This window comes from Homo sapiens, chromosome 11 (assembly GCF_000001405.40).
Source record: "Homo sapiens chromosome 11, GRCh38.p14 Primary Assembly".
NCBI classification, from domain to species: Eukaryota; Metazoa; Chordata; class Mammalia; order Primates; family Hominidae; genus Homo; species Homo sapiens.
The window spans coordinates 35365838-35391782 of NC_000011.10; the positions used below are offsets into that span (position 1 = coordinate 35365838).

The 25945-nt window shown below is 42.3% G+C and overlaps 1 protein-coding gene across 13 annotated transcripts in view; it reads right to left on the reverse strand.

Moving 5' to 3' along the window:
• The window catches only part of SLC1A2 (solute carrier family 1 member 2), a 169303-nt gene that overhangs the window by 114633 nt on the left and 28725 nt on the right, over positions 1 to 25945 (reverse strand). The window contains exon 2 of one of the 13 annotated variants that reach the window (NM_001252652.2): positions 5104 to 5259. The exons of 10 other annotated variants lie outside the window; for them this stretch is intronic. Coding sequence is in view for 1 of the 3 variants with exons in the window: in XM_017018136.1 (XP_016873625.1) it covers positions 14544 to 14575 (32 nt within the window). In the remaining 2 variants the exon portion in view is untranslated. Of the gene's footprint in view, positions 1 to 5103; positions 5260 to 14543; positions 15450 to 25702; positions 25724 to 25945 lie in introns of those variants that run through there. 2 more of the 13 variants (XM_047427438.1, XM_017018136.1) reach the window with 2 other exon arrangements.

Consider the following 25945-nt stretch of genomic DNA (forward strand, 5'->3'; position numbering starts at 1 on the left):
ATCAGTGGCTCTCTACAGGGGTGACTTTTCCCCTAGGAACACGTGGCAACACCTGGAGACATGTTTGGTTGTCACAATTATGAGGTGAGGGGAGGGAGGCTATGGGCACCAAGTGGGTAGAGGACAGGAATGCTGCTAAACATGCTATAATGCATAAAACAGTCCTCCACGGCAAAGAATTAGCCAGCCCCAAATGTCAATAGTGCTGAGGTCAAAACACCCTGGTCTGGATGGTAGCTCTCAGTTAACCATCTATTACATGTACTGTGTCAACTAGAGTTTATTATACTTATGAATCAGGGTTCAGGGCCTGTTTTGGTTCTCAAGTATTGCTGCACCTCTGTGGGAGGATTACACTTCTCTATCCCTGAAGACGTCCTTTGCCACGTGAATTCCTTTGGATAAAGAAATGTGAGCATGTCTCAGATGCTCTCAGTGCCCCACTCACGTCCCTCCTCTCTGTCCCTCTAATGCACTCCAGCCAACTTGTAACTGCTAGCATCTATCTCTTTGTCTGAGTGCTTTCTCGGAAGCTAGAAGGCTACTCTCTGTGTGTACACACGGGCTGGAAGTGCTAGGAAATTAAAACTCCTCAGGAGTAGCCTTCAACCCATGTCTGGAAGGTTTGGTTGTGTAAATATACCAGCTCCCTTGTTCCTCAGGAGGGTAATTCTAAGGCACATGATTTGCCCTGTTTTCCAGAATTTCTCCATGGGACTGAACTGGAGTTGTCCACAGTGGTAGCTAGCTTGATAACACATGTTCTCCTGACTGCCTTCCTTGTCTCATTTCTCCATTCCCTGATTGATGTTTCCTATATCTCCCTAATAATCTGTATGAGTTTGAAGCCGTGTTGTAAAATCTGCTCCTAGGAACCCAAACCAACACAAAACAGAAGTAACACATGCCACTTCCAAGTAGAAGCATTAGGAAGTTCCCCATGGTTCTGCTATTGCTCTTTTCCCCTCTGGTTTAAGAGAGGTGTGGCCCTGGCTGCTGCTTCAGCCCGGGTCCTAGGTGAAGAAGGTACAGTAAATGCATGCAGTTGCCCTGCAACCAATGTGTAACAGACACAAAATCAAATTTTGTTGTTGGAAATCACTGAAACATGGGAGTGGTTGTTATTGAAGCAGAACCTGGTCAAAGCTGACTAATACAGGGCTTCTCACTCCTGGGAGGACCTTCCTAACTGACTCTATCATAGCAGACTTGCTACTTACCTCCCAAATGATACTCATCTAAGGGTAAAAATCATATAGCATAACCCTGTCATCTCCTTGAGTTTGGAGACAGTTGTTTACTTCCTTCTCTTTGTGGAGTTTCTTTGTAATGCATGGTGCTTTGTGCAGTGCCAGGGCATTGGTGAGCACCTACAATAACTGGTAGATTTGACCCTGAGCTATCTGGGTTTTACCATGGGCCAGTTCATGCCTGGTGGCTGTTGTGGGAAAAAGAGACTCAAGATGAGGAACTTGACCCAGAAATGGATGAAATAATTATTCACACTGCAGTTGCTCTCAGCCAGGGTGACCTTGGGGGAAATGCCTTCTGCATCTGGACCCTCATGTGTCTAACACAGGATCTGATCCTGAGCTTAAGTTCCGTCCCCAGCACTCAGCTTCTATGGTTCAATGAAGACCAAAGCAAACTCCATTTTCCCGAACCCCTGCTTTACCCATCAGCCTTCAGAACAGGCTAAATTCATACCCAAAATGTCAGAAGACTGTTTCATCTAGTTCATAAGCAGCTCATTTCTTTTCTCCTATTAAGAGATCAGAAGAGAGAGTTACATTTTTCCTTCACTCTGTCCTTGACGTTTATTATGATCCACGTGCTACCATCAGCTGAAAACTGCTCACAGGCTATCACAGCATTTCTCATGCTTGAGTCATTCATGTTCAGCCTCTGCTATTTTTGCCCTATGTGAACGCCACCTCTAGTATTATTTCTGTAATAGTGTTGAACACTGACTGATTCTTTGTACTCCAGTAAGTGTATTCTAAGACAAAATTTTAGATCACTACCATCAATAAAAATCCAGTATCACCTGCCATAAATAGAGGGTGGAAGTGAAAATGAATATGACATAAAACCATTTTTTACTGAATTCTAGCTAGATATTATTGTCTGCTAAGCCTCTGCTATCTGCTCTGTTTGTTAAAAATGGAGGTTAAAAAGTATTAGACGGTGTTGAAGGCACAGCACCACCTAATCAAAGTTTAATCCTTGTCATACTCAGAAAGATTGAAAAAGAATTTAAAAAGGAATAATTTTCTCACCCCATGATAGGACATAACTTAATCCCTCATCAATGCACCCCCAATCATCTCATGTGCCCCCTAAAATCATCTTTCAATTCATCAGAACATTCATTTCACACTTTGAGTAAAGCTATATGATTTCCCTGGATCTTTACTCAGGTATGGTTGAGCTACTGACAACACAGAATTTACAGCTTGTCAGCTGCAGGTCTGAGTCCTGCTTTACCACTTCCTAGCTGTGTGATTTTGGAAAAGTCACTAAACCTCCCTGAGCTTCTCTTTCCTGGTCTGCAAAATGGGGATAATCATAGTCCCTACCTCCTAAAGACTTTCAAAAAATGCTTGGCCTGCAGTCATGCTCAATCAATTATGGCTGACATTATTATTGATTATCATCAAATCTATATGGTAGGCATTTTGATATCCATTCTACACATAAAGAAAGTAAGGTCCAGTTGAGTAATCTATCAAGCTCACGTAGCCTTGCTTTTCCCACTCTACTAAACAACTGTTCTAAAAAGCAGCAAGGGTTGTCATGAATATTTTAAGTCAGAGATGTTTACTGTTGTCCTGTTTTATTTTTCCTAGCTCTGCAGGCTTGCTTAGCTGCCTTACACTGAAATACAGAGAACAATGGTGCATACACATAAGCTATCAGCTGGGGTAGATTCAGGCCCAGCCATGATGTCCCTGACACGTCTTTGGCCCCCAAAGCATGCCAGCTTACCCTGGGATATGCCATTTTGTGTAGGAAAGCAGATGAGGACAGAGGTCTTGTCTAGCACCACTTGGAGAAGCAAAATGAAGTGCAGAGCCCTGCCACTGACATTATGACAGGGGTGGGATGGACAGTGCCATTCCTGTACCTTTCTATTTTTAATGTTCCATTTCTACACTTCTTGCCTGATTTTAATTAAGCTCCACTTCAAATCACTGCCTAGAGAGAAGACTTTAACATTATAGAAAAACACAAGTCTGGGAGAGCTCATACTACATATGCTGCTTGCTTTCCCTTCCCGAGGCTTCTCCCTGGTTTTAAAACATCAAGTCCTGCTCTGGAGTGGATAATATGTGGGCAGCAAAAATAACACATCCCAGAATAGACTTTTTCCCCCACCACCTTCCCAGAGACTGGGGGCTCTAGAGACAAAAGTAATAAAGAGGGCCTTTTGTCATGTAACTCGAGGTGAGGGAAGGTGAGAGATTGAACACTTTCAGTATAAAAATTACAAGTTATATTTCAGCATCACTCATGAGCTCTGATTGTGTTGTAGGTTTCCATCCTCATACTAGAATCAGCTTACCAAGCTCCAGGTTCCTTACCAGATGCCTTGAGGCTCTCTCCCACTCCCCAGCTGAAGCAAAACAAAATATGTAAAGAATGAATGGAAACTCATGCTGGAGGTTGGAAATAAAAAGCCATGGGGCCTTGGGGATAAAGAAGCTAAATGGTCTGACATTTTGTTGATGCTTACCAAAGCATTGTCCCACACATGAGATCGTCACACCTACCAGAGAATGACACAGCCACATACACATCCCTAAAAAGAACTTAGAATTTCTACTTCAAGATTCAATACATTTATTCTGAATTTTTATTGACTGCCTCTTAAGCTCTGCCTTGCAAGTGACACAAAGCTGACCTTGCCCTCTAAGAACTGATCATCATCGTCAGCCCAGATGACAAGGTGTATGTATTCAGGCAGGAGCTGGGGCAGGATAGCATGGCAGTAACTCAAATATATAACTAATGCTAACAAAAATCATAATATAAGGATCCCTAGCCAGTCAAGTAAGAAACAGTCCATATAGGAATAAAGTATCTGGTTGTCAGAAATCAAGAATTTGGGATAAGGTAAAGTAAAACTTACCAGACTCACAAAATTGGGTGGGGGTGAAGAGGGAGGATGATTCAGGCAGAACAGTGTGGGCAAAGGCATGAAGGGAAAAGTATACGTGACCCTCCAATAGGCTGTAGCACAGTTGTCAGTAACAATAATTGTTAATACTTATAATGCACTTAAACCATCAGCCAGGCAAGGGCTTTATACACAGCATCCAATTTAACCTGCACAACACCTTGATGTGGAAATACAGTGTTACTTGCCCCATTCTTCAGTTGAGGAAACAGGCTTGGCCTTGCTGAAGGTCAAGCATGTGATCCTCTAAGAACTGGGGCTAGGTTTATGTGATTCCAGAGCTCACTCTCTTTAGGGAAAGTGATGAGGCAGGAGTGGCCACAGAATATTCCTCCACCTCTTCCTAGGTACCTTTAGTGGTGGCACATTGTCAGTGCCGGGCTAAGCCTCCTCAAAGAAGGAGTCAAATTATCTCTTCTGAAATAACTACCTAAGTTACTTCAGCTCTCAAGTGAACAAGGACAGTGGTGACTTTGGGCAACTGTGCCTCACCAAGAGAAAAGAAGACTGGGGTCTTAGCAAATACTCAGCAGCCTGACAGAGGGTACATATGGGTTGGAGGAGAAGCCCAAAGAACAGAGTGAGTGTTATAAGGTGTACTCTGGTTTCATGAGAGGTAGAGAGCAGCTCCCACCCAGAGCTAAGAGCAGAGAGGAGGGCTCAGTGCGGGGAATGAGAGCAGGTGCATCTTTCCATCTTATGTGAGAGGCTGTCTCACTGGAGGCAGTGTCTGAAAGAAGAACTGGATGGCAGAAAGTGAAATCCCCATTGCTGAGTATCCCTCCCCAGCATTGCAGCAGCCAGGTAGAATTTCCATGACCTCCCAGGCCAAGAAGAACATGAGCTGCACATGCTGAGTGGCCCAGGAAAAGAAAAGATGGCTAAGATATATGCAAGAATACATGAAATATATGAAAACTTGCCTTGCTTATTTGGATAAATCATTCCATTTCTGCCAGGGTACAGACAGTCCCAAAGGGTGGCATCTTCCTCTCTCATTCATGGGGTGAGTTTTGAGCTGTTTTCTTGCAGAGACAATGGGTGGAGTTGACTCATCTGTGTTCACTTTGGTCCAGCACCTGTAGGCCAGGTGGCTACCCTCAGTGAGAACCCTTTGCCTCATTCATCCTAAAGCAACCTACTTTGTCTCACCCACTGTTGAAACTCTGAATGCAAGCCCCATTTCCTTGTTTCCCATTGTTTCATTTGCCTCTTGTTTATGAGCTTCCCTCATGACTTTGATACAGCACCAACTTGGCTCCAATCCACATTCCCTCCCTTCCTAGTGACATAGGCAAGTATCCACCATGGTCCAGCTGGACCCTCAGAACCTCCTCTCTCAGGTTTTACTGATTGTTCTCACTCTTCATCTCCCTGCCACCATCTGTCAACTACAATGACTTTGGTGACCAATGGCCACTGGGCAGTCTACAACAGTGGAGCAAAGTGAAGCTGATGGGTCCCCTGAGAATTGAAACCTGAACCTGTGACTTCGTTTCCCTTAGTACCACCAGGGGTGGGAACACACCCATGATGCCTTGAGATCTTTGCAAAGGGAGACTCTGTGACCTCATTTAATGTTTTTAGGAGTAGGCAACATCTGCAACGATACTTGAGAGACTTTCACAGTTTTGTTTCTTTGCTGAACAGTCAGAAGTACAATTAGCTGAATTAACAGGCTGACTTCTTGCTACTCAGAGTGCACCCAAGCAACCATCCACTTCACCTAGGAGCCCCATACAAATGCAGAACCCCAGGCCCCAACCAGACCTGCAGAATGAGAAACCACATTTCCATCAGAATCCTAGGTGATTCTTAAACACATGAGAGTTTCAGTAAGAAGCACTATTCTACCTGATCTTGAAATTCACTCAACCAGGCTACAGGTCTAAAATTGTTTCAGTTGGAAAAGCAAATGCAAAACAAAATGATAGTAGCCTGAGAGTTCTGGAGCCACTAATACTCCTGGACAATGCATGAAGAAGCCTTGGGGTCTGGCCCAGCAGCTGGCTCCCCCATCAGTCATGGTGCCTTCACCACTGTCTGCAACTACCAAAAGGGGTGCAATGTAGGACAGAAGGGAGTAAACAAAGAGGTGACTTGGAGAGAAAGTAGAGAAGGGATGGAGAGGGCAAGGGAAGGAAGTATGCCTGGTAAAGAGAAACTACAAGGCTGCCCCTTGGCCTCTCTTGTCTCTTAGGATCAGATGCATCTTTCACTCATTTTTCAGCTGGACCAGACCCTCCTCACTTACAGAGCCTTCATCAACAAATCACGCCACCCAGGTGATGGCTTCATTCTGCTATGCTATCTTATGGTGTCACCATGTGTATTGGTCCCCTCTCCCCTGCTTTGGTGGCTCTGGGGACTGGGCATTTAGCCACATGACAACTCCCAAAGCTAGATTATTAGCTTTTCCTGTTATTTTAGTATCTCTCAAGTACACACTCCATACAATTTATTTGAGATATTTATCCTCAGTTTCACAGGTGATTATTGCAAACTTATTCTCAATAACCAGGAAGGACCTAGCAAAGGACCAGCCACAAATATGAGTATGGTGCTTTGGGTGGCCTCAAGAAGTTCCCAGTCATAGTAAGAATTATAATCAATAACTTATTATTGTAGCAATAATTATCATCAAGGTAATTACAGTAGGTTATAATTATAATCAATAGCACTTATAGACAATAATAAATTGTAATCAATAACTCAAAGTAAGAATCTACAACCAATGATTAAAATCAATAATTCTTGTAATTATAATCAATAACTCTTAGAATTATAATCAATAACTATTTTTCACCAGGAACCATTCTAAGCCCTTCATTTAGATTAATTCATTTAATCCTTAAAATAAGTTTGTGAGGTTGGTATTTTTAAGGATCTTCATTTTACAGGTGGGGAAACTGAGGCACAGAGGATTTGGGTAACTTGCTCGAACTTGTTTAGCACATGGTAGTTTGGGATGCAAGCCCAGGCAGCCTGGCTGGGGCATCTGGCTTCTGCCCACTGCTCACAGCATGATCAGAGATTCAGGCCTATGTACAACCCAGGGATCCACATTTCAGAAGCACGACACACCAGAGCAGGGCATGAGCCATGTGTGGGGCACTGGGGCACCTTCTCTCAGAGATGGTGACTTGATAAAGCCTGGAGGAGCAGGGCCCAGTCACAGGAAGAGGCAAGGGCGTGTGAGATGGTGGCCACCCCTGCTCCTGCTCACTGTCCCTTCTGCAGGAGCAGCTGCCCTTTCAGCTCCTTTCTCCATTCAACACCTTCTTTCAGACCTCAAGACCCATGACCAAGTGCTGCTGTTTCCATAGCCAGGTTGGGCCCCCTCATGAATGGGACAAACCCGGTAGGGATGCCAGTCATGATCTTCTGCCCCTAGACTGTGCCAAACAACAGGTCCCAGGAACCAAGCAAAGGGCTGGGGAGCAGCTGGTCTAGGGAGGGGCTGAGGTCAGGCTGTGGGTGAGAGCAGAAGGTAGAAACAAGGGTGAGAGAAGCAGAAACAAAGGTTGAGGTACAAGGTGAAACTAAGTGGGAACGCAGGAAAGACCCCAGAAAATGAGTAGATGTGAAACAGGGAGAGGGCTGCAGGCTGTGCTGCAACAAGGTGAGGGGCTGTGGGTGCCCCATCTGCTGGGCAGGAAGTGGTAGGGCTAATGCAGCATGGGCAAGGGGCATACTTGTCTGAGAACTGGGCAAGGAGCCATTGCCATGATACAGAGCACTGGGTCAATGATTAACACAGCATCCCAGAGTCATATACACCAGGAGGCAGAGGAAACAGAAATCAGATCATGGGATTAATATAGCTCAAGTTCAAAGTATTAACTCTGAGCCAGGCACTTTGCTAAGTACTCCATGCAGATTACCTTATTTAACCCTCACATGTAGTACCTAAGAACGTCGGCTCCAAAGCCAGGTTGAGTTTGAATGCTGACTCCTCCGTGTCTTAGCTGTGTGATCTTGAGCAAGTTACTTAAACTCTGTGTTTCTCAGCTTCCTCATCTGTGAAGTGGGATTATGTTAGTAGATATGTCATACATTTGTGATGAAGATTAAATAAAATAATAGAGGTGACATTTAAAGTAGTGCCCTGCAGGTTAGGGCTTCACTGCCCTGTGTCCTCTGCTCTGGGATGCCTAGGTGATTCTACCACAGCCTCCCTCGCTCTGTGACTTGCTGGCTTTGAATGATTTATAGCTAAGACTCCAAGACACTCCCGAAGCTGAGAAATGGAACTCTTAACATTCAGGGATGTGGCCACAGAATTCTCTCCAGAAGAGTGGAAATGCCTGGACCCTGCCCAGCAGAATTTAAATAGCGATGTGTTGTTGGAGAATTACAGAGACCTGGCCTCCCTAGATCTGGTCACCTGTCTGGAGCAAAGAAAAGAGACCTACAATTTGAAGATAGATGAGACAGTAGCCAAACCCCAAATTTAAAGAACGAGTGTCCAACCTTTTGACTTCCCCGGCCATATTGGAAGAAGAAACATTGTCTTGGGCCACACATAAAATACACTAACACTAATGATAGCTGATGAGCTAAAAAGAAAAAGGGTTTGTGTATAGTTTTCATGATATTTGTACCACAGATAAGCAAAAAAGTCCTCTCATTCAAAGGGTTGGTTGGACACCACTGGTTAAAAGTATCTACTCACCTTCTAGATTTTTTAAATGTCCTGTGTCATTAATGAGCTTAGAACATTGCTAAGCAAATATTAAGCCATCTATTATTTTTTAATAACTATTATCTTATAATTTTGTCTTATACTTAGTAGGGAGCCTGCTGGCACTGTGTCATTAAGATATATCTATATATATAAATGTGTAAGGTGATACACATACACATACCTATATAAATCGTACATGTGTATAGTCAGTTCTTAATGTTGACAGGTTCTTGGAAGCTGTAACTGTAAGTGAAGCAACATATTGCTTAAGAAAACAAATTTTACCATAGTTTAATTGATACAAACAAAAGGTATTTGAATGGCATATAGCAACATTGTTTCACTTTTTAAAAACCGCAGTTTTCAAGAACCTATTTTACACATTAAGTGAGGACTTACTGTATGACTATTTGTGTAACATGGATTTTTCAGATAAAAATTGTATAACAAAAAATAAAAAATAAAAATAATAAAGTAGTGCCCTGCAGAGAATAAAACCTCATTACATTTAATGATACTTATTATTACTACGATCATCCTCTTTTAGATACCAAGACATTGAAGCCCAGATTGAAGTTGAATTATGGCTGAGAAGCAAACCCAGTCAGTCCTTCCAGAGAAGCTGAATGTGTTATCATTGTGGTTCCCCGCTTCACGTGAATTCAGAGGAACAAGGGGAAGAGAGGAGACACAGGTGAGAGGACAAAAACCCCCAGAACAAAGTGGTCAGTAAAGCAGAGTAGAAGAAGCGGGCCTGGGGCCATTTCTGAGTAGATCTCACGACTGCAGGTGCAGGTTGCAGGATGTGGGTGGCTGGTGAGCTGAGCACAGCAGGAGGCCCTGGAGATGGAACCCCCGTGTGGTAGTAGCATCCAAGCTTTGGGCCCTCCAGTCAAGGTGGCTATTTCAGTTGGGCCACGAGAACCATGTCTAAAAACCCCAGGTCCTTGCTGCAAAGTCGTCACTCTGGTCAGAGCCACACAAGTACTTGCAGACCCGGGCAGTGGCATCAGCAGGTCACTGGGCCTGGACTGGGATGAGGAGGGCTACAGAGGAGGGTGAGCAATGGTAAAAGCTAAGACAGACTGAGTGATCACCACCTGTGAAAAACTGTTCTACACACTTCATACTTCTACTTGATCTTCACCGTGACCCTAAGAATTGATTCTATTATTATCCCCAATTGGTAGACTAGGACATCAAGGCACAGAGAAGTCAAGTAACATTTGCAAAGTCACACAGCAGGTAAGTCACAGAGCCAGAAGCGGAATCCAGGCTGTCTGGCTCCACAGTCCATACTCCTAACCTCCAGTATCAGTAATAACCAGCCAGGCTAGTCTCAGAAATATCTAGACAATCTATTAGGCTTAAAAACTCCTATTTGTCACTGGATCCTTGGCCTAAACAGTAAAGTATGTTTAGTGCAGTCAATTAAAAGCTAGAAATGGAGAAAATATTAGACAATCCCAGATTGAGAGGTATTCTATTAAAAAAAAAAAAACCCTCTTTGAAAGTGTCAAGATCATGAAAAGACATGGAAAGACCGAGGAACTATCTCAGATGGGAGGAAGCTACAGAGACATGACAACTAAATGCAGTGCAGGACCTGGATTGGATCCTAGAACAGAGAGAGAACATTACTGGAAAAATATGAAATCCAAGTAAATTCTAGCAATTGTTGCAAAGTTAATTTCTTAGTTTCGATCAATGCTCTATGGTTATGTAATACGTACGATACCATTAAAGGAAGCTGAGGGAGGAGAATGTGGGAACTCTATGTATTATTTTTCCAATTCTTCTATAAGTCTAAAATTGTCTGAAATTTTTAAAAATTTTCAAAAGACAAAAAATGTAAATGAAAAAAGGATCAAAGCCACTGCCATTCTTGGGTTAAAAACCAACATGTTTATCTTTATAATTGTAACCAAATTATCCTGTTTCCACTTATGTATGTGAATAATTACTCATCTTGATTTAACATTATATCTGTTTTCAATTGTGAATAATAATTTTTTTTAAGCCGGCAATGGTTACATTTAGACACCTGGATCTGCTTCAGAAAAAAAAGCAAAAACAAAAACCAGATTACTTCCACATGCTTCAAGATATGAATCTATCATCTCCCCCTCTCTTTGACTCATATCCTCAATGTCGCTATTCGACAAATTTCCTCAACCCCTGCACATTGATGGAAGCTGCTAGGAAAAGCCTGGATCACTTGGAGGTTGAAGGTCATTTTGTAGCCAGCAGTGAGCTTCCAGAAATGCAGCTGGTACTATAACCACTGAGGAATGAGCAGGCCAAGTGTCTTCATGAAGATCAGAATGGCTGACAGGCAGAATGGTAAAGCAGAAATAGGTGTATGTCCCCCCTTCCAATGTGCGGGGCACTGACGTAAACACTCTATCCCCATTAACTCATTTAGCGCTCACTACATCCTTAGGAGGAAGGAGCCATTAATATTATTCCCATCTCACAGATCAGGAAATTGAAGGTCAGAGGGGTTAAGCAACTTCCCAAGGATGTACAGCAAGTCAGCAGTAAAGTTGGGATAGAGAATGGAAACCACGTGTCTCAAGAGACTGTAGGCATCTTTTTCCTTTTCAAACTTTCTTGTTTCAACCAATATTGGACTGGCTATCTCTGTCAAATCATCCCTGGTTTGTTCTCAACTCAGAGAGTGGGCTGCAGGTCAGCCAGATGAATGCCACAGAGCATGCACTGTGTAACAGATGCTCTACACCCGTCATTCCATCTGTTCGTTACCAAAGGGGGATGATGATCAACTCTATTTTCGTGAGATAACTGAGGCTCAGAAAGGCTAAGGAACTTGTCCAGCACCAGAGAGCTAAGTGGCTATGTCAGAACTTAAGCCCACACATCCCTGATGGCCGAGGTCTGTGCTCTCTTCATTCATTCTATTTCCAAGGAAGACTCGCAAGATGAAAAAAAATCATCAAGTAGATACCAAGAAAGGAACCTCCCAACAACCCCTAAAAAGTAAGCTGCAAAGATAGGCCTGAATAGGCATATTCATGCTGATTATTCCATTGACTTTGCCTGTCGTATTTGTCAAATCCAGATAATTCAGACCCTGAACAGAAAGAAACGTTTTTGTTTTGTTTTCTCATTTTACATACTGACATGTTCTAGCTTATCTAGAAAATTGCAAGCATTCTTTTTCTTTATCCCAGTGTTGGCTTTTCTTTAAGAAACACAGATTCACAACCTATTTCACTAACTGGCCATTGATAAATAAAAATACTTGCACATGGCAAATGGAAGCAACATTGTGCAGGAACTTGGAGGTTCCTTTAGTAGTTTCAGCCAGAAGAATAAAGCCATACAGAACCACACAAGCTCCCAGAAATCCAAACCCAGCTGATTGGTTTTACACTTGGAAACATAATCAGCACCACCACTGCCTCCCATCCCAAAAGCCCTTCCACAGTTACTAACTCCAAATTCTGAACGGGAAAAGCAATATGCAAATTTAGAAAAAGGCAGAACCCCCAGATCCTAAAGCCCAGGCTCAAATCACAGTGGCTTGATGCCTTTGCAAAGCATTACTTTAGGGACTGATTATTCTGAAACGTTGTTTGGGTGATGATACCCAAGACACCAGGGCCCTGCCTCCTGGGAAGACAGCAGTATTAGCTTGTGGCTGCATAGTAGACATCGTTCATCAAAAACAGAAGAAATACCAAGAAAAAATATTGATGCTAGCTGGTCTGAAGCAGTTTAAAATTGTCACAAACCTGCACTGATTTGTTAGCATCTTTATCTCTGAAAGCGCTCACCCTTATTCACATCAGCAATTTGTGTCTTTAGGAATAACTGAAAATTTTCATGAAAACTAAGAACCACCTAGTATAAGATTAAGAACCTTTCCAATGCATTGGAGACAAGAAGGACAGGGTGAAAAAATAAGTCTGCCTGTAACTGAAGCTCTCAATTGGATTGATAAGTCTTGTGCCTTGAACTTACTGCTCACAAAAGCAACAAGAGTGTGACAGGCAAGAGTGTCTCCAGACTAATATATAACCCGTGGTTCTCTTCAGTTAAGCTCTATGAATAGTTGTCTATAAGGATGCAGTTAAAGTTGGCAATACCTGGCCAGATTGGCAAGGATGCATAGCCAATGCGGCTAAATGTAGCTCATGGAAGGGGAAGGAGAAGATGGAGGGGTAAGTCTGAAGCTCCATTGTCTGTGAATTAAATGCATTAAAATTTGTGACACATGGCCAGGCGCAGTGACTCATGCCTGTAATCCCAGCACTTTGGGAGGCCGAGGGGGATGGATCACCTGAGGTCAGGAGTTCGAGACCAGCCTGGCCAACATGGAGAAACCCCATGTCTACTAAAAATACAAAAGTAGCCAGGCGTGGTGGTGACATGACTGTAATCCCAGCTACTCAGGAGGCTAAGGCAGGAGTATCGCTTGAAGCTGGGAGGTGGAGGTTGCAGTGAGACGAGATCATGCCATTGCACTCTAGCCTGGGCAACAAGAGCAAAACTCTGTCTCAAAAAAAAAGAAAAATTGTGACACAGAGGGCAGTGCCCGGCACATAGGAAGTCTATGTAAATGCCAGCCTTTGTTATTGCTGCTGCTACTGTTATTACTAATAAAATTTTTAGACTGCCCTGATTCACAAAACTATTGCAAATCCTTTGCCACATTTAGACAATGCAATTTCAATAGGCAATACAGACTTTTTTTTAAGCCAGACATAAAATCCTGGGTAAGCAAACTCCCACCCACAAAGAACATGGCACCTGTGCCTCGGACATATTCCTCGGGAGAGATCACCTAGCAATTTGGGAGCTTAGAAGCCTTTGCTTCAGGCTTGAGAACATGCCAAGGACTCTCCATGAGAATCAGTCTAGGGAGAGAGGAAGAGAGACATTTGATCGCCTTTCCCAGTGAAAAGCATATGTCCGGGGCACGCAGGCTTCCTCCACTCACTTATGGATGGAAACAATGCTAAGCACATTCTGTCCCAAGAACTTACTTATGCTTATCCTTAAGGCTTCACTTTTTAATTTAAATCCCAGGATCCTGCCATAAACCGGCCAATTGAAAGCTTGATCTGAGAACAACTTCTGGGCAATCAATTACTTACGTGGCGAATCCCAACAGCCAAAACAAATGTCATCCAGACATCCCCAGAGTTGGTTAGAAGCTATGGCCATTTTAAATTCTCCTTTCCATGATTATCACTAACAATATTTAATAAACTCCATTTAACCACCGACTGCAAAGACTTTACTTGCACGCTGATACCGGGTCAGGTTCATTATGTTAAGCAGACACCTGATTGTCCCAGGCAATCTATAAAAGGTCATACCTGTTATAATTCCCATGATTCTCATATTTTCATAATCCATCTGATTTTATCATTTAATCCCTCAGCCTGCTTTTGAAAAACCCAAGAGCTCACTGGTTTGATAAGACAATCAACATTAAGCAAGTTCCCAAACTGTAGATGCACAGCATGCAATGCCAATACCCTCAGCTCTGCAGTCCTGTGAAATGAAACACCTCCTTGACATAAGAACACCCTGATGCTCTGGGTGGTTCGACTCCACCTAAAGATTCCATGGAAAAGGCCTTGGCTTTTGCTTTGCTTCTGAAAAATAAGCCAGGTTGTAGCCCTGGTCATTGTGAGCACTAACCTTCTCCAAATGTGGTCCTTGGGCCTCTTCATGGATGCATATGTGCGAGTTATTCTAGGTGATCTCTTGTTAAAGAGTTTTATTTTAAATCCCAGCTAATCTGTGCGACTCCCTGGATTGGTCTGATCTCTCGATACATCTTAGTTCAGGTCTACAGCGAGCTGCAAAAAGACAGTGCAAACACTTTTGCTGTTTGTCTCCCTCTTTCCCTTTCTTCCAATCAATTCTGTTCCATCAGGAACCCCTCATCTCTTCTGCATAAAGAGGTATATAAATAAAAACAAAATAAATAAATAAAAGGGCTGCGTGAGTTGCTGATTCTCCCTATAGTGACAGCGCTAAGGCAGTTTAAAGAGGGGAGTGTGTGGGTGTCTGCACGGGCAGTGCCTCAGTGCTTCGCTGTTTGTTTTGAGTGCCTCTGGGTATTTTTAGAATCTGTAGGGAGAAGCTGAGCTGCACTGGATGACTGTTATGCTCCCAATGACACCCTGGGCTTAAAGAAACAGGATTCACAGTGACTGCTAAAGTTTCAGGCAATAGAAGACAACATCTGACAAAATTACACGTAGTGGGGATGGAGGTAGAAGAAAAGAGAAGGAAAAGAAAAGAAAACTCCTTGACAAACTAAGTTGGAGTGAAGTATTACAGAGCTCAGGTATAAGTTACTCAATTATGAGATTTTTTTAAGAGTTTGCAGTAGCCACATATATTTTCCTCCTTTCATCCCTTTGTTTCTTTTCTCTTATTTTCATCATTCGGGCAGCTTTTTGGGCAGCCACCTTTTCCATGTCATCCCATCGTGTGATTGTCATCACACGGTGATCCAGACTGGGCAATCAGAGCAATCCTTTCCTACAGTGGTCAGCCCAAGAATGGGTGTGGCTGAAGCCCAGCCAATGAGACTCTTCTCTGGGCCTCTTCCTAGAAGTATCAGAAAAGAGGCACTTTCCATTGCTGAAATCATTTTCTCTGAGGATGCTGTAAGTCTTGAGCTGCCAAACCCATCATTGCCTGAAAGGACAACAACCCAGAAGAAAACCCAACCAAAAGATGGGGAGAGTAGCAAAGTCTAGATAGCCTTTCAGCCCTCTGTCTGCTGTATCCAAAGCCTGCTGAATCCCTAGACATCCCAGTTACCTTACCCATAAAGATCACCCCTTCTTTCTCTTTGAGTTTGAGTCCCACCAAGAACAGCCCGAAAAATCTTCAATAGCTGTCAATTTTTAAAAACATCAGAGGGACACTGAAGTACAAGCCACAGCCTGTCCACTCATGCCTACCCTGCTGGTTCAGAGGACACCAGCCCCCTCAGCGAGGCCCCCAAACTGCTCTTGTTTGCCTCAGAAGACAGGCGGGAAATTCCAACCTGATCCTACTTTGTACTTCAGGAAAACAAAGGGGAGTACGTATTTCTTGTAAGTGTCATATTGCACCTTTTAATTTATTGTCTTTCCCAGAAACACACAACTATGATGATTTCATGTTCTGCAACAATGAGTACTGATCTCTTATCACATAGTCCCCTTCCACTGAGTGAAGTGACAATGAAGAAAATGATGATGAAATTGTAAAAATACAGTACCCTGCACAAAGCCAACAAACAGTAACTGTATCTGTACTTACATGATTGGTTAGATTCCCACAACAACCTTATGAAGCAGGTATGATAACATGCCCATTTTACAGATGAAGATACTGAGGCTTAGAAAAATGGAACAACTTGTGCAAGATGACACAGAAACTAAGAAATGAAATCAAACTCAGCTCCATGTTCCTACAAGGCCCGTGGTAACCACTCTGCATTGCTGTCTCTTCACTGAATCACCCACCACTTGTTGGACCTTTACTTACCATTTGTTTCATACTGTGCTTTCCCTGTGGTCCTTGTCAACCTGTCGATATTTTCACTATTACAGAGATTCTGTTAAACCTATTTTGTTTCTTCCTGATCCTCTTGTGTTTGATTGCCCATCATTCCATAGAGTGATTCTTCAAGATGGGCCACAGGGGCAACTAGACCAGTGAAATCTTTGTTTAGCTAACTTATAATGGAACATCATGAATCCATTTCATAGGAAGAAGATACATGATATTTCCAAAAGGACAAAGCATAAGTTTTAACATTCCTCCTAAGGCTGGGTGCGGTGGCTCACGCCTATAATCCCAGCACTTTGGGAGGCCGAGGTGGGTGGATCACTTGAGCTCAGGAGTTCAAGCCCAGCCTGGCCAACATGGTGAAACCCTGTCTCTACTAAAAATACAAAAATTAGCTGGGCGTGGTGGCAGGTGCCTGTAGCCCCAGCTACATGGGAGGCTGAGGCAGGAGAATCACTTGAACCCAGGAGGCAGAGGTTGCAGTGAGCTGCGATCACGCCACTGCACTCCAGCTTGGGCAACAGAGCGAGACTCAGTCTCAAAAAAAAAAAAAAGTCCTCCTAAAGGGTAGGTGAATGATCTAGATCATGCTTTAGACCTTTAAGGTATTATTGTTTCCAGCTCTCTAGGAGTGAAAAAAGCTTAAATGTTTCTTTTGAATCTGAATCTGAAAACTGATCCTGCTTTTCCTACCTGCACGCTCCAAAAGTTAAAAGCCTACACCATCTAAGAAAATTATCAGACATATAGAAAAAAATACATATGCAAAGATGTTCACAACAGTGTTATGACAGAGGAATTTTAGGCATGTCCAAGAGTAAGGGATCAGTTAAGTCAATTGTATAGTGTAGCCATGACTGGAAAACACTCAAACTGGTAGTGTATTAAAAGTTATGTCAAAAAAGAATATAGTGGGGAAACTCTGGCATAATCCTAAAAGAAAAAAGCATGCCTGAAAATACTATGTTAGTTTGACACAAATTTAAAGGACATAAACTAAAATGACAACAGTAATGGGACCTGGGTAAATTAATTTTGTTATGTTGTGTTGCCTTTTTTCTGCCTTTTTTGGTTGAAAGTATTTTTTGTTGTTGTTATTTTTATAATGGTTATTATGAAAGAAATAAGCCTAAGAAAATGCTATATGGCTTAAGGAGATAAAGATGTCATGGGATTATCAGAGAAAAGGAGAGTACAAGCAGAATGTGCCAGTGGGGAGCCCAACTCTGGAGCTGACTGCTTAGGTTTGGATTCTGGTTCTGCTCCTCACTAGCTATGTAACTAGGGCAAGTTACCCAGATTCTCTGTGTTTCAGTTTCCCTGTCTATAAAACAGGGATGGTAAGAATAGTTCCCACCTCATGGGGTTGTTCTGAAGATCACACAAGCTAACATACATGAAGCATTTAAAACAATGCCTGGCATAGAACAGGTTCTATATAAGTTGTTGCTATCATTATGGAATGAACCACCCAAGAGCAAATACCCTGTCTTTCTCATCTCTGTATTCCCAGCACCTCTCCAAGTGTCTGGCTTACAGTAGATGCTTGATCAATGTCATCTGGGTGGATTCTGGAGGGCAGTGCTGATATTTTGAGGAATGGCCACCATGATACCATCTCACTCAGTACATCTATGGTGTGACATCTCCCTCTAGATCCCTTCCATGGGGTTCTTCATGCTGAACGGATGGCAATTGTTCTACTCGCTTGTTTGGAGTACTGACAGTTAACAAGATAAAAGGGACAGAAACTGTACTGCCACAACACAGCAAAGTTTAGCAATGGCCTGCCATCGCCTCCTCTGTTCCAGCCAGGACTTTTTTGGTTGCTTGAAAGAGAAATACGTTCACCCTAGTGCAAATAAAAGAGGAGAGTATCATATTGCTAAGTATAGATATCTCATGGAATCCAAGAACAAGAAACAAAATAGTAATAGAAGCTGTCTTGTCACATGTAACTTAAACCGGTGAGTGGGTGATTCATCAACGAAGTCAGTGAGATCTGGAAATGACTTTTTTAATGATACCATAATTATATAAATATTTTAACTGAAAGTACAGATCCCATGTGGAATATGGAAGATGACTATTCTCATCCACGCAGGTTGCTCCTGGATTGTCTGAGTTCTGATTTCATCCTTTAATCCCATGAATCTTTAAAAAAGTAATGTACAAATAATGAATGTGACCCTACTCCTTCTTGAATAAGGAAGACCCACTCAGAGGCCATCTGCAAAGCATATGGCCATAATTCAAAATGACAAATACATGTTAGATTTAAGAATCCTTAATGAATCTCAAACAGTTGCAGCTTTAGGCTCAGTGGATTAGAAGATATTGATTCATCATTGAAGATTATTTGCTTGTTGAAGTTACCTATGCATTTCCACTGTGGCATATTCACCAGTATCCCAATTTCTGAATGTTCAGAAGATTCACTGGCTTTAGGGGAAAGGAGTATCATCACAGAAGTTTGGCCACTTATATGCTTGTTCTATTGGACAGTTACACAAAGACTTTGAACCATAGAATTTGGGAAATTTAGAAGGATTTTAGAAACCCAATAATCAACCCCTCTAAAGCCTAGAGAGGTGACAGTAAGTAAGATGCTAAGGCTGGGAAGCCCATGGTCTCAGAGTCTCAGTGCAAGATGGCTTCCCTACACAATTGTGTACCCAAAAAGTAACCATCTGCCTAAATATGACACCACTTGTAGAAAGGCAGTTGGTTAAATTTCCCAGATATATGTGGTTTATACAAAGATAAACTAAAGAAGTGATAAAAATGTATGCATATGCTGACAACATCATACTATATCTGGAGAATACAATTTCTAGAGGCCCCAGAGTGACCCAGTGAGACAGTGAAATAGAAATATTCAAAAATAAAAGCTTTCCCCTCACTGCATTCTAAATTGTCATTGAGAAAGGCCAGAAAATGTCCAAGCTCAAACCATCCCTGCCCTCCCCTCCTTTTTATGAATTAGGGTAACAGATGGCTTTTTCAGTACATAGAAGAGAGGTAACAGCTGTTGATAATCTATGACAAGCACATATCAGATGGTTTTTCCATTTCATCCTCATCACAACCCTGAAAGGGAAATATTATCTCCCTTTTACCAGGTGAGCAAACTGAGGCTCAGAGAAGTTAGGCAATTTCCCCAAGGTCACACAGCTAGTCTGTCTATTTCTAAAGCCTACAGGTTTTGTAGTGTTTTGCCTCCCATTCTCCCTAAACAGAAGAACCTGCAGAGGGGTCTGGGTAGCAGTCAAATGTTCTTTCTCAGAACACCTTACAGCGACATGGTTTGGGACCTGTAAGTTATCTCAGAATACCAATTCCACAATGAGCCAGGCCGGCCATCTGCTTTTCTGACTTGATCTTTCCCCAAGATGTGCTATATCAAAGACAGGGAGCTTGGTTTTATTTTTCTCTGATTGCTTGGATTCTCCTTAGCATCTTCTAACCAATCTTATATCATCATATATTATTATAATAGTATTTTTTTCTTGAGCCTGCAGGTTCTCTGGGTGAAACTATGTGTAGAATTTGGCTCATCAAAGTTAGAAGAATTTAGACAAAGGACACAGGAGCAAGGAACACAGTGAAGCTTTAAAAATAATGACAGTTGGCCCGGCGCGGTGGCTCAAGCCTGTAATCCCAGCACTTTAGGAGGCCAAGGCGGGTGGATCACGAGGTCAGGAGATCTAGACCATCCTGGCTAACATGGTGAAACCCCGTCTCTACTAAAATACAAAAAATTAGCCGGGCATGGTGGCGGATGCCTGTAGTCCCAGCTACTCAGGAGGCTGAGGCAGGAGAATGGGGTGAACCCGGGAGGCGGAGCTTGCAGTGAGCCGAGATGGCGCCACTGCACTCCAGCCTGGGCGACAGAGCAAGACTCCATCTCAAAAAAATAAAATAAATAAAATAAAATAAAATAAAAATAATGACAGTTTTCTTTTCTCTGAACCTTAACCATGTTCCCTGCTATATTTCTTTCACACTCTCAGGTTTGTTTTTTCCATGGAATATCTAAATTCTTAGGCCTATCTTGTCTTCTCTCATTCCTCACTCTTTTATTGTGCCAGAAAAAAAAAGATGTCATTTAAAATAAATATGGTTTCCAGATACCTGTAGACGTTGACACCCTCAGTCACTGCTGTAATGAAATTCAGGGATGTCAGTGTACATCAACAATCAACTGAAGAAAGGTGCCGATGAAAAGGCATCAATATGTTACTACTCAGATGGCTATTTCAAGCATCTTCTTTTGAAAGAAATCAAAAGAACATCAATTTTTATTTTTGAAAATTCAAAAAACCCATCAGTTTAAAAGGTTGTATTTTGAAATCATAACAAATTTCAGGTGATTCAACCTTCAAGCAATATTGATATATGGTTTAGGGATAAATCATTTTAAAAGCAATAGCTAACATACTAAGGGGCTTAATGTGTGTCAGGAACTTCTTCATATAGTTCCTATGCATTTATCCTCACAACCACCCCTAAATAATGTGGTCCTACTATTAAACCCATTTTACAAACATGGAAACTGGGACTTAGAAAGCTTAAATACATTCCTTAAAATTACCTTGTCTGAGAAGCTTGGTGACTAACCTGCAGTGCTTTTTCATTTTTAAAAAAGAACAAGGGGCAAAAATTTACATCTTTTTTCCCCCTTTTTTATTTGTTGTAGAGATGGAGTCTTGCTATGTTGCCCAGGCTGGTCTTGAACTTCTAGAATCAAGCAATCCTCTTGCCTCAGCCTCCCAAAGTGCTGGGATTACAGGTATCCACCACACCCAGTAATCTGCAAAAATAGACCTTCTGACTTTCCCATCTTCTGGCACCTCCCCTCACCCCCATTCTCCTGTAGAATTGGTATATGTACTTGATCCTGGTCAATCAATCACTGAAGATGGCTGCCTTAATGTGTGGGAGAGAATTACCTAAGAAGAAATGGGTCAAATCATTCTGGGGTGGGTGGGGGAAGAAATGCCAGTTCAAGATGCTGCTTCTAGAAAAGTGACTCAGAGAGGGGCCCAGCTTTTTATGCAATCCCAAAATGCCAGAAACGTGGGGTCTCTGGCCACTGAGGAGGCTCCCATGTAAATGGCTGGCTCATTTGGGTCTTCCCCACACTGGATGAGGAGGCAAGAACATCCCCTACTTTTCCACACTGTGACCTTGCTTGCTACAGAAGCCATATTACCTTCCCCTGGAGAGTAACGGGTGTGTTTTCTGACTATGTCCCAGACAAAGCTCATTAATAATTCACTTCTGAATAAATGACAGGAAAGTATTTGGTTGCCATGGTAACAACTGCAAGGCCTATTTGTTTTTTGTTCTTTTTTAAAATAATGTCTGGGCCATTTTTTTGTGAATGTTGAATTACTGACAGAAACCATACATGTATAAGACAGAGATATGAATGGGTAGGGAAACAATATCTTAAAAATGCAGTCGGTAAGCCATTAAGCATCAGGACCTTAAAATAAGGGAACCAAAATGCCTTTCTCAGCTTCCCACTGCACCTTTCTGGAAGGAGGAGGAAGTGACAAAAAAAAACAAAAACAAACAAAATCATTTCTAGACTCAATTAGCTATGTGATGAAAACTTATTCATACCAAAAATTCATATATAAAAGCATTTTTCACACTTGAACTTTTTTCTTAATTAACATATATTCTTGCAACTAATCGTTACTACAACCTTATGAGGTCAGCGTTATCATACTCATTTTATGGATGGGGAAGCTGAGTCTTAGAGAACATGGCCTAAGCCTCATAGTCTTGAAGTGGTAGAGGCAGAATTTATACCCAAGTCTGCCTGAATCCAAAGACTGTGTTCATTCTACGTATCAACCCTCGGGGAAAGGAAGAAATGGGATCCCATTAGGGGAGTAGGGTTTACCCAGAATTTATTTCCAGAAAATAGGCCTTAAATAATTTTTACTGAAAAGAGAAAGACCCGATGAGTCATAGATTTATTTAAAATGTCTTTCATCCCATTGCTAAAGAGCAGGGAGGAAAAGTGAGTTTCATCAGTTTCACATTTTCATCTTTTACGGCACTACATACCAGATGAAACAAACTCTTTTTTATAGCATTCGAAATAATCTCAGACATGTTTGTTTTTGTTTTGTTTTGTTTTGACACAGGGTCTCACTCTGTTGCCCAGACTGGAGTACAGTGGTGTGATCACAGCTCACTGCAACCTTGACCTCCCAGGCTCAAGCCATCCTCCTGCCCCAATCTCCAAGTAGCTGGGACTACAGGTGTGTGCCTCCATGCCTGTTTAAATTTTTGTATTTTTTATAGAGACAAAGTCTCCCTATGTTGCCCAGGCTGGTCTTAAACTCTTGGACTCAAGTGATCCTCCCGCCTCGGCCTCCCAAAGTGCTGGGATTACAGGCATGAGCCACCATGCCCCACTCAGACATGTTTTTATTGAAAGATAACACCCTACCCCAGATTGTGAGCATGTAGAGCCTATGCCTCCTTCACATTTGTTTCCCAGCAGGATACACCTTCGGATGCTCAGAAAGCATGAGCAGGTGGAATTACCCTAAATGAACTAATTCAGAAGCACAAAACCAAATATCACATGTTGTCACTTATAAGTGGTAGCTAATCACTGGGTACACGTGGACATAGAGATGAAATAATAAACACCGGGGACTCCAAAAGGGGCTGGGAGTGAGGGTTGAATAATTACCTATTTGATGCGATGTTCACTATTTGGGTAACGGGTACACTAGAAGTCCAGTCCCCACCAGTATGCAATATACCCACGTAACAAACATGCACATGTACCCCTGAGTACAAAACTAATTTAATTTTTTAAAAACCTAAATATGTAGATGACCAAAAACTGAGGGAAAAAAAATATTTGTGGAAGAGTCAATAAAAGAATCAATAAGAGAATGAAGTGCTTTAAAGCAATACCTCTTTAACTTTTATTTCATATATTCAAATATTCCAAGCAAAAAAATGACTCAATGCTTAAATCACTGGGTGAATTGGCCCAGTTTCCCATTCACATGCCCAGGTAGAGAGCCCAGCAGGTGAGGAAGGAGCTCAAGGCTGAGTTCACAGAGTTCCTCATTCTCGTTCCAAAACTACTTCTCAGGTTTTTGGTCTTTTTTTTGTTTTGTTTTTAACTATTAGTATTTTCTTCTTCTTCTCCTTCTCCTTCTTCTTCTTCTTATTATTATTTTTCTTTTGGTGAGACAGAGCTTCACTCTTGTCACCCTGGCTGGAGTGCAATGGCATGATCGTGGCTCACTGCAACCTCTGCCTCCCGGGTTCAAGCGATTCTCCTGCCTCAGCCTCCGGAGTAGCTGGGATTACAGGCACGAGCCACTATGTCTGGCTAATTTTTGTATTTTTAGTAGAGACAGAGTTCACCATGTTGTCCAGGCTGGTCTTGAACTCCTGAACTCAGGTGATCCACCCATCTCAGCCTCCCAAAGTGCTGAGATTACAGGCATGAGCTACCATGCCCAGCCTCTTTTTTGTTCTTAAATTTTCTTGTAGACACCAGGTCTTGCTATATTGCCCAGGCTGGTCTCAAACTCCTGGGTTCAAGTGATCCTCCCACCTCAGCCTCCCAGAGTGTTGGATTACAAGCATGAGACACTGGGCCCAGCCAAGGTTTTGGGGTCTTAAGTATTTCACTTTTCCGGATTTCTGTTTGCTATCTGTAAAATGAGCATGCTTTAAAGCTAAGAATAGAGATAATAAAGTTTAAAGTTTGAAACTTTGATTTGTATTTTTAAATGGTCACTATGACATTTAGCAACTGGTTTAGCTGGTTTTGGATGTTTATTCGGTCAACAGCACAGCCTGTGTGAAGCACTAGCTAAACACCCCAGTTAGCCTGCTCTAAAAGACAAAAACACAAACAAAAAACCCACTTGACTTTAGCACGTACAGTAATGAGTTTCAAACATGTCTGTGTGCAATCTACAGTAAGAAATAGATGTCTTCTTTTTCTCATGATGTCTCAGCGCACACCCACACACAGGCACGTGCACACACAGGCATTCACACACCAAAGTACAAGAAACGACCCATGTCCTTCCTACATGTAGTGTACCCTGATAGTTTCTATTCTCCTCCATTTCATTTTTAAAATTTGATTTTTTTTAAGTAAGTTGCTTTCTTGACCCACTAAATTGGTTTTGGCCTGCAGTTTGAGAAGCAATATTGAGGTTACGTTTTACTGACCACTCGAAATGTGACCAGTGCAAAATGAGATGTGTCATAAGTTTAAAATACCAGCAGAGTTTGAAAATATTACCAAAAAATAAAATGTACCATCTCATTAAGGAATTTTTCATATTAGTTACATGTTGAAGCAATCATAACTTGGATATATTGAGGTAAGTAAAATCTATTCTTTTTTTTTTTTTTTTTCTTGAGATGGAGTTTCACTCTTATCACCCAGGCTGGAGTGCAATGGCACAATCTTGGCTCACTGCAACTTCCGCCTCCCTGGTTCAAGCGATTCTCCTGCCTCAGTCTCCAAAGTAGCTGGGAGTACAGGCATCAGCCCCCACACCCAGCTAATTTTTGTATTTTTAGTAGAGAAAGGGTTTCTCCATGTTGGCCAGGCTGGTCTGGAACTCCTGACCTCAAGTGATCTGCCCGCCTCGGCCTCCGATGGTGCTGAGCTTACAGGTGTGAGCCACCACGCCCGGGCATAAAATCTATTCTTAAAACTAATTTCACCTGTTTCTCTTTCCTTTTATAGTGTGGCTACAAGAAAATCTAGTATTCTATCTGTGGCCTCTGCTATATTTCTGTTGGATGGGGATGATCACGAGCAGGGTCAGTCAACCATGGTCCACAGGTCAAATCCAGCTTGCCATCTATTTTTGTAAATAAACTTTTATTGGAACACAGCCTTGCTCGCTTATTTACATACTGTCCGTGGCTGCTTTTGTGATGCAATGGCAGAGTTGACTCATTATGATACAGACTGTATGGCTCACAAAGCCTACAATATGCACTATCTGGCTCTTTGCAGAAAAACTTTGTGAACCCCTAAAAGAGCATTGGGTGCTTATAATCTGCCAGTCACAATTCTGTGAGAGTTTTATGACCCTGTTTTACCAATGAGGCTCTGGGCGATTAAGTAATTTGCCTGAGGCCACCCACCTGGGCAAGAAGTCACAGAGCTGGGATTTGAACCATTGCCAGTCTGACCACAAAGCCTGTGCTATCATCTCTACCCTGTGTGTACCTTCCCATACACCCTCCAAAACCCTTCTTACCTAGGTACAGCGCTGAATTCTACCACTGTAGCAGGGAGAACCAATCAGCCCACCTGACCGTCAACCAGTCTAGAAGGAAATGGGAACAGGTTTGGTTGGGGAAGAAGGGATCTCCTCAGGGAATTTAAAGGTTGTTAACTGCTGTTTTAGTTTTAGGACAAATTACCTGCCTTCTAACTGCCATGCAAACAAATACCGCTCAGGTGTGACCAAAATTTAAGCATCTTAAGTCTCCGCTCTCTT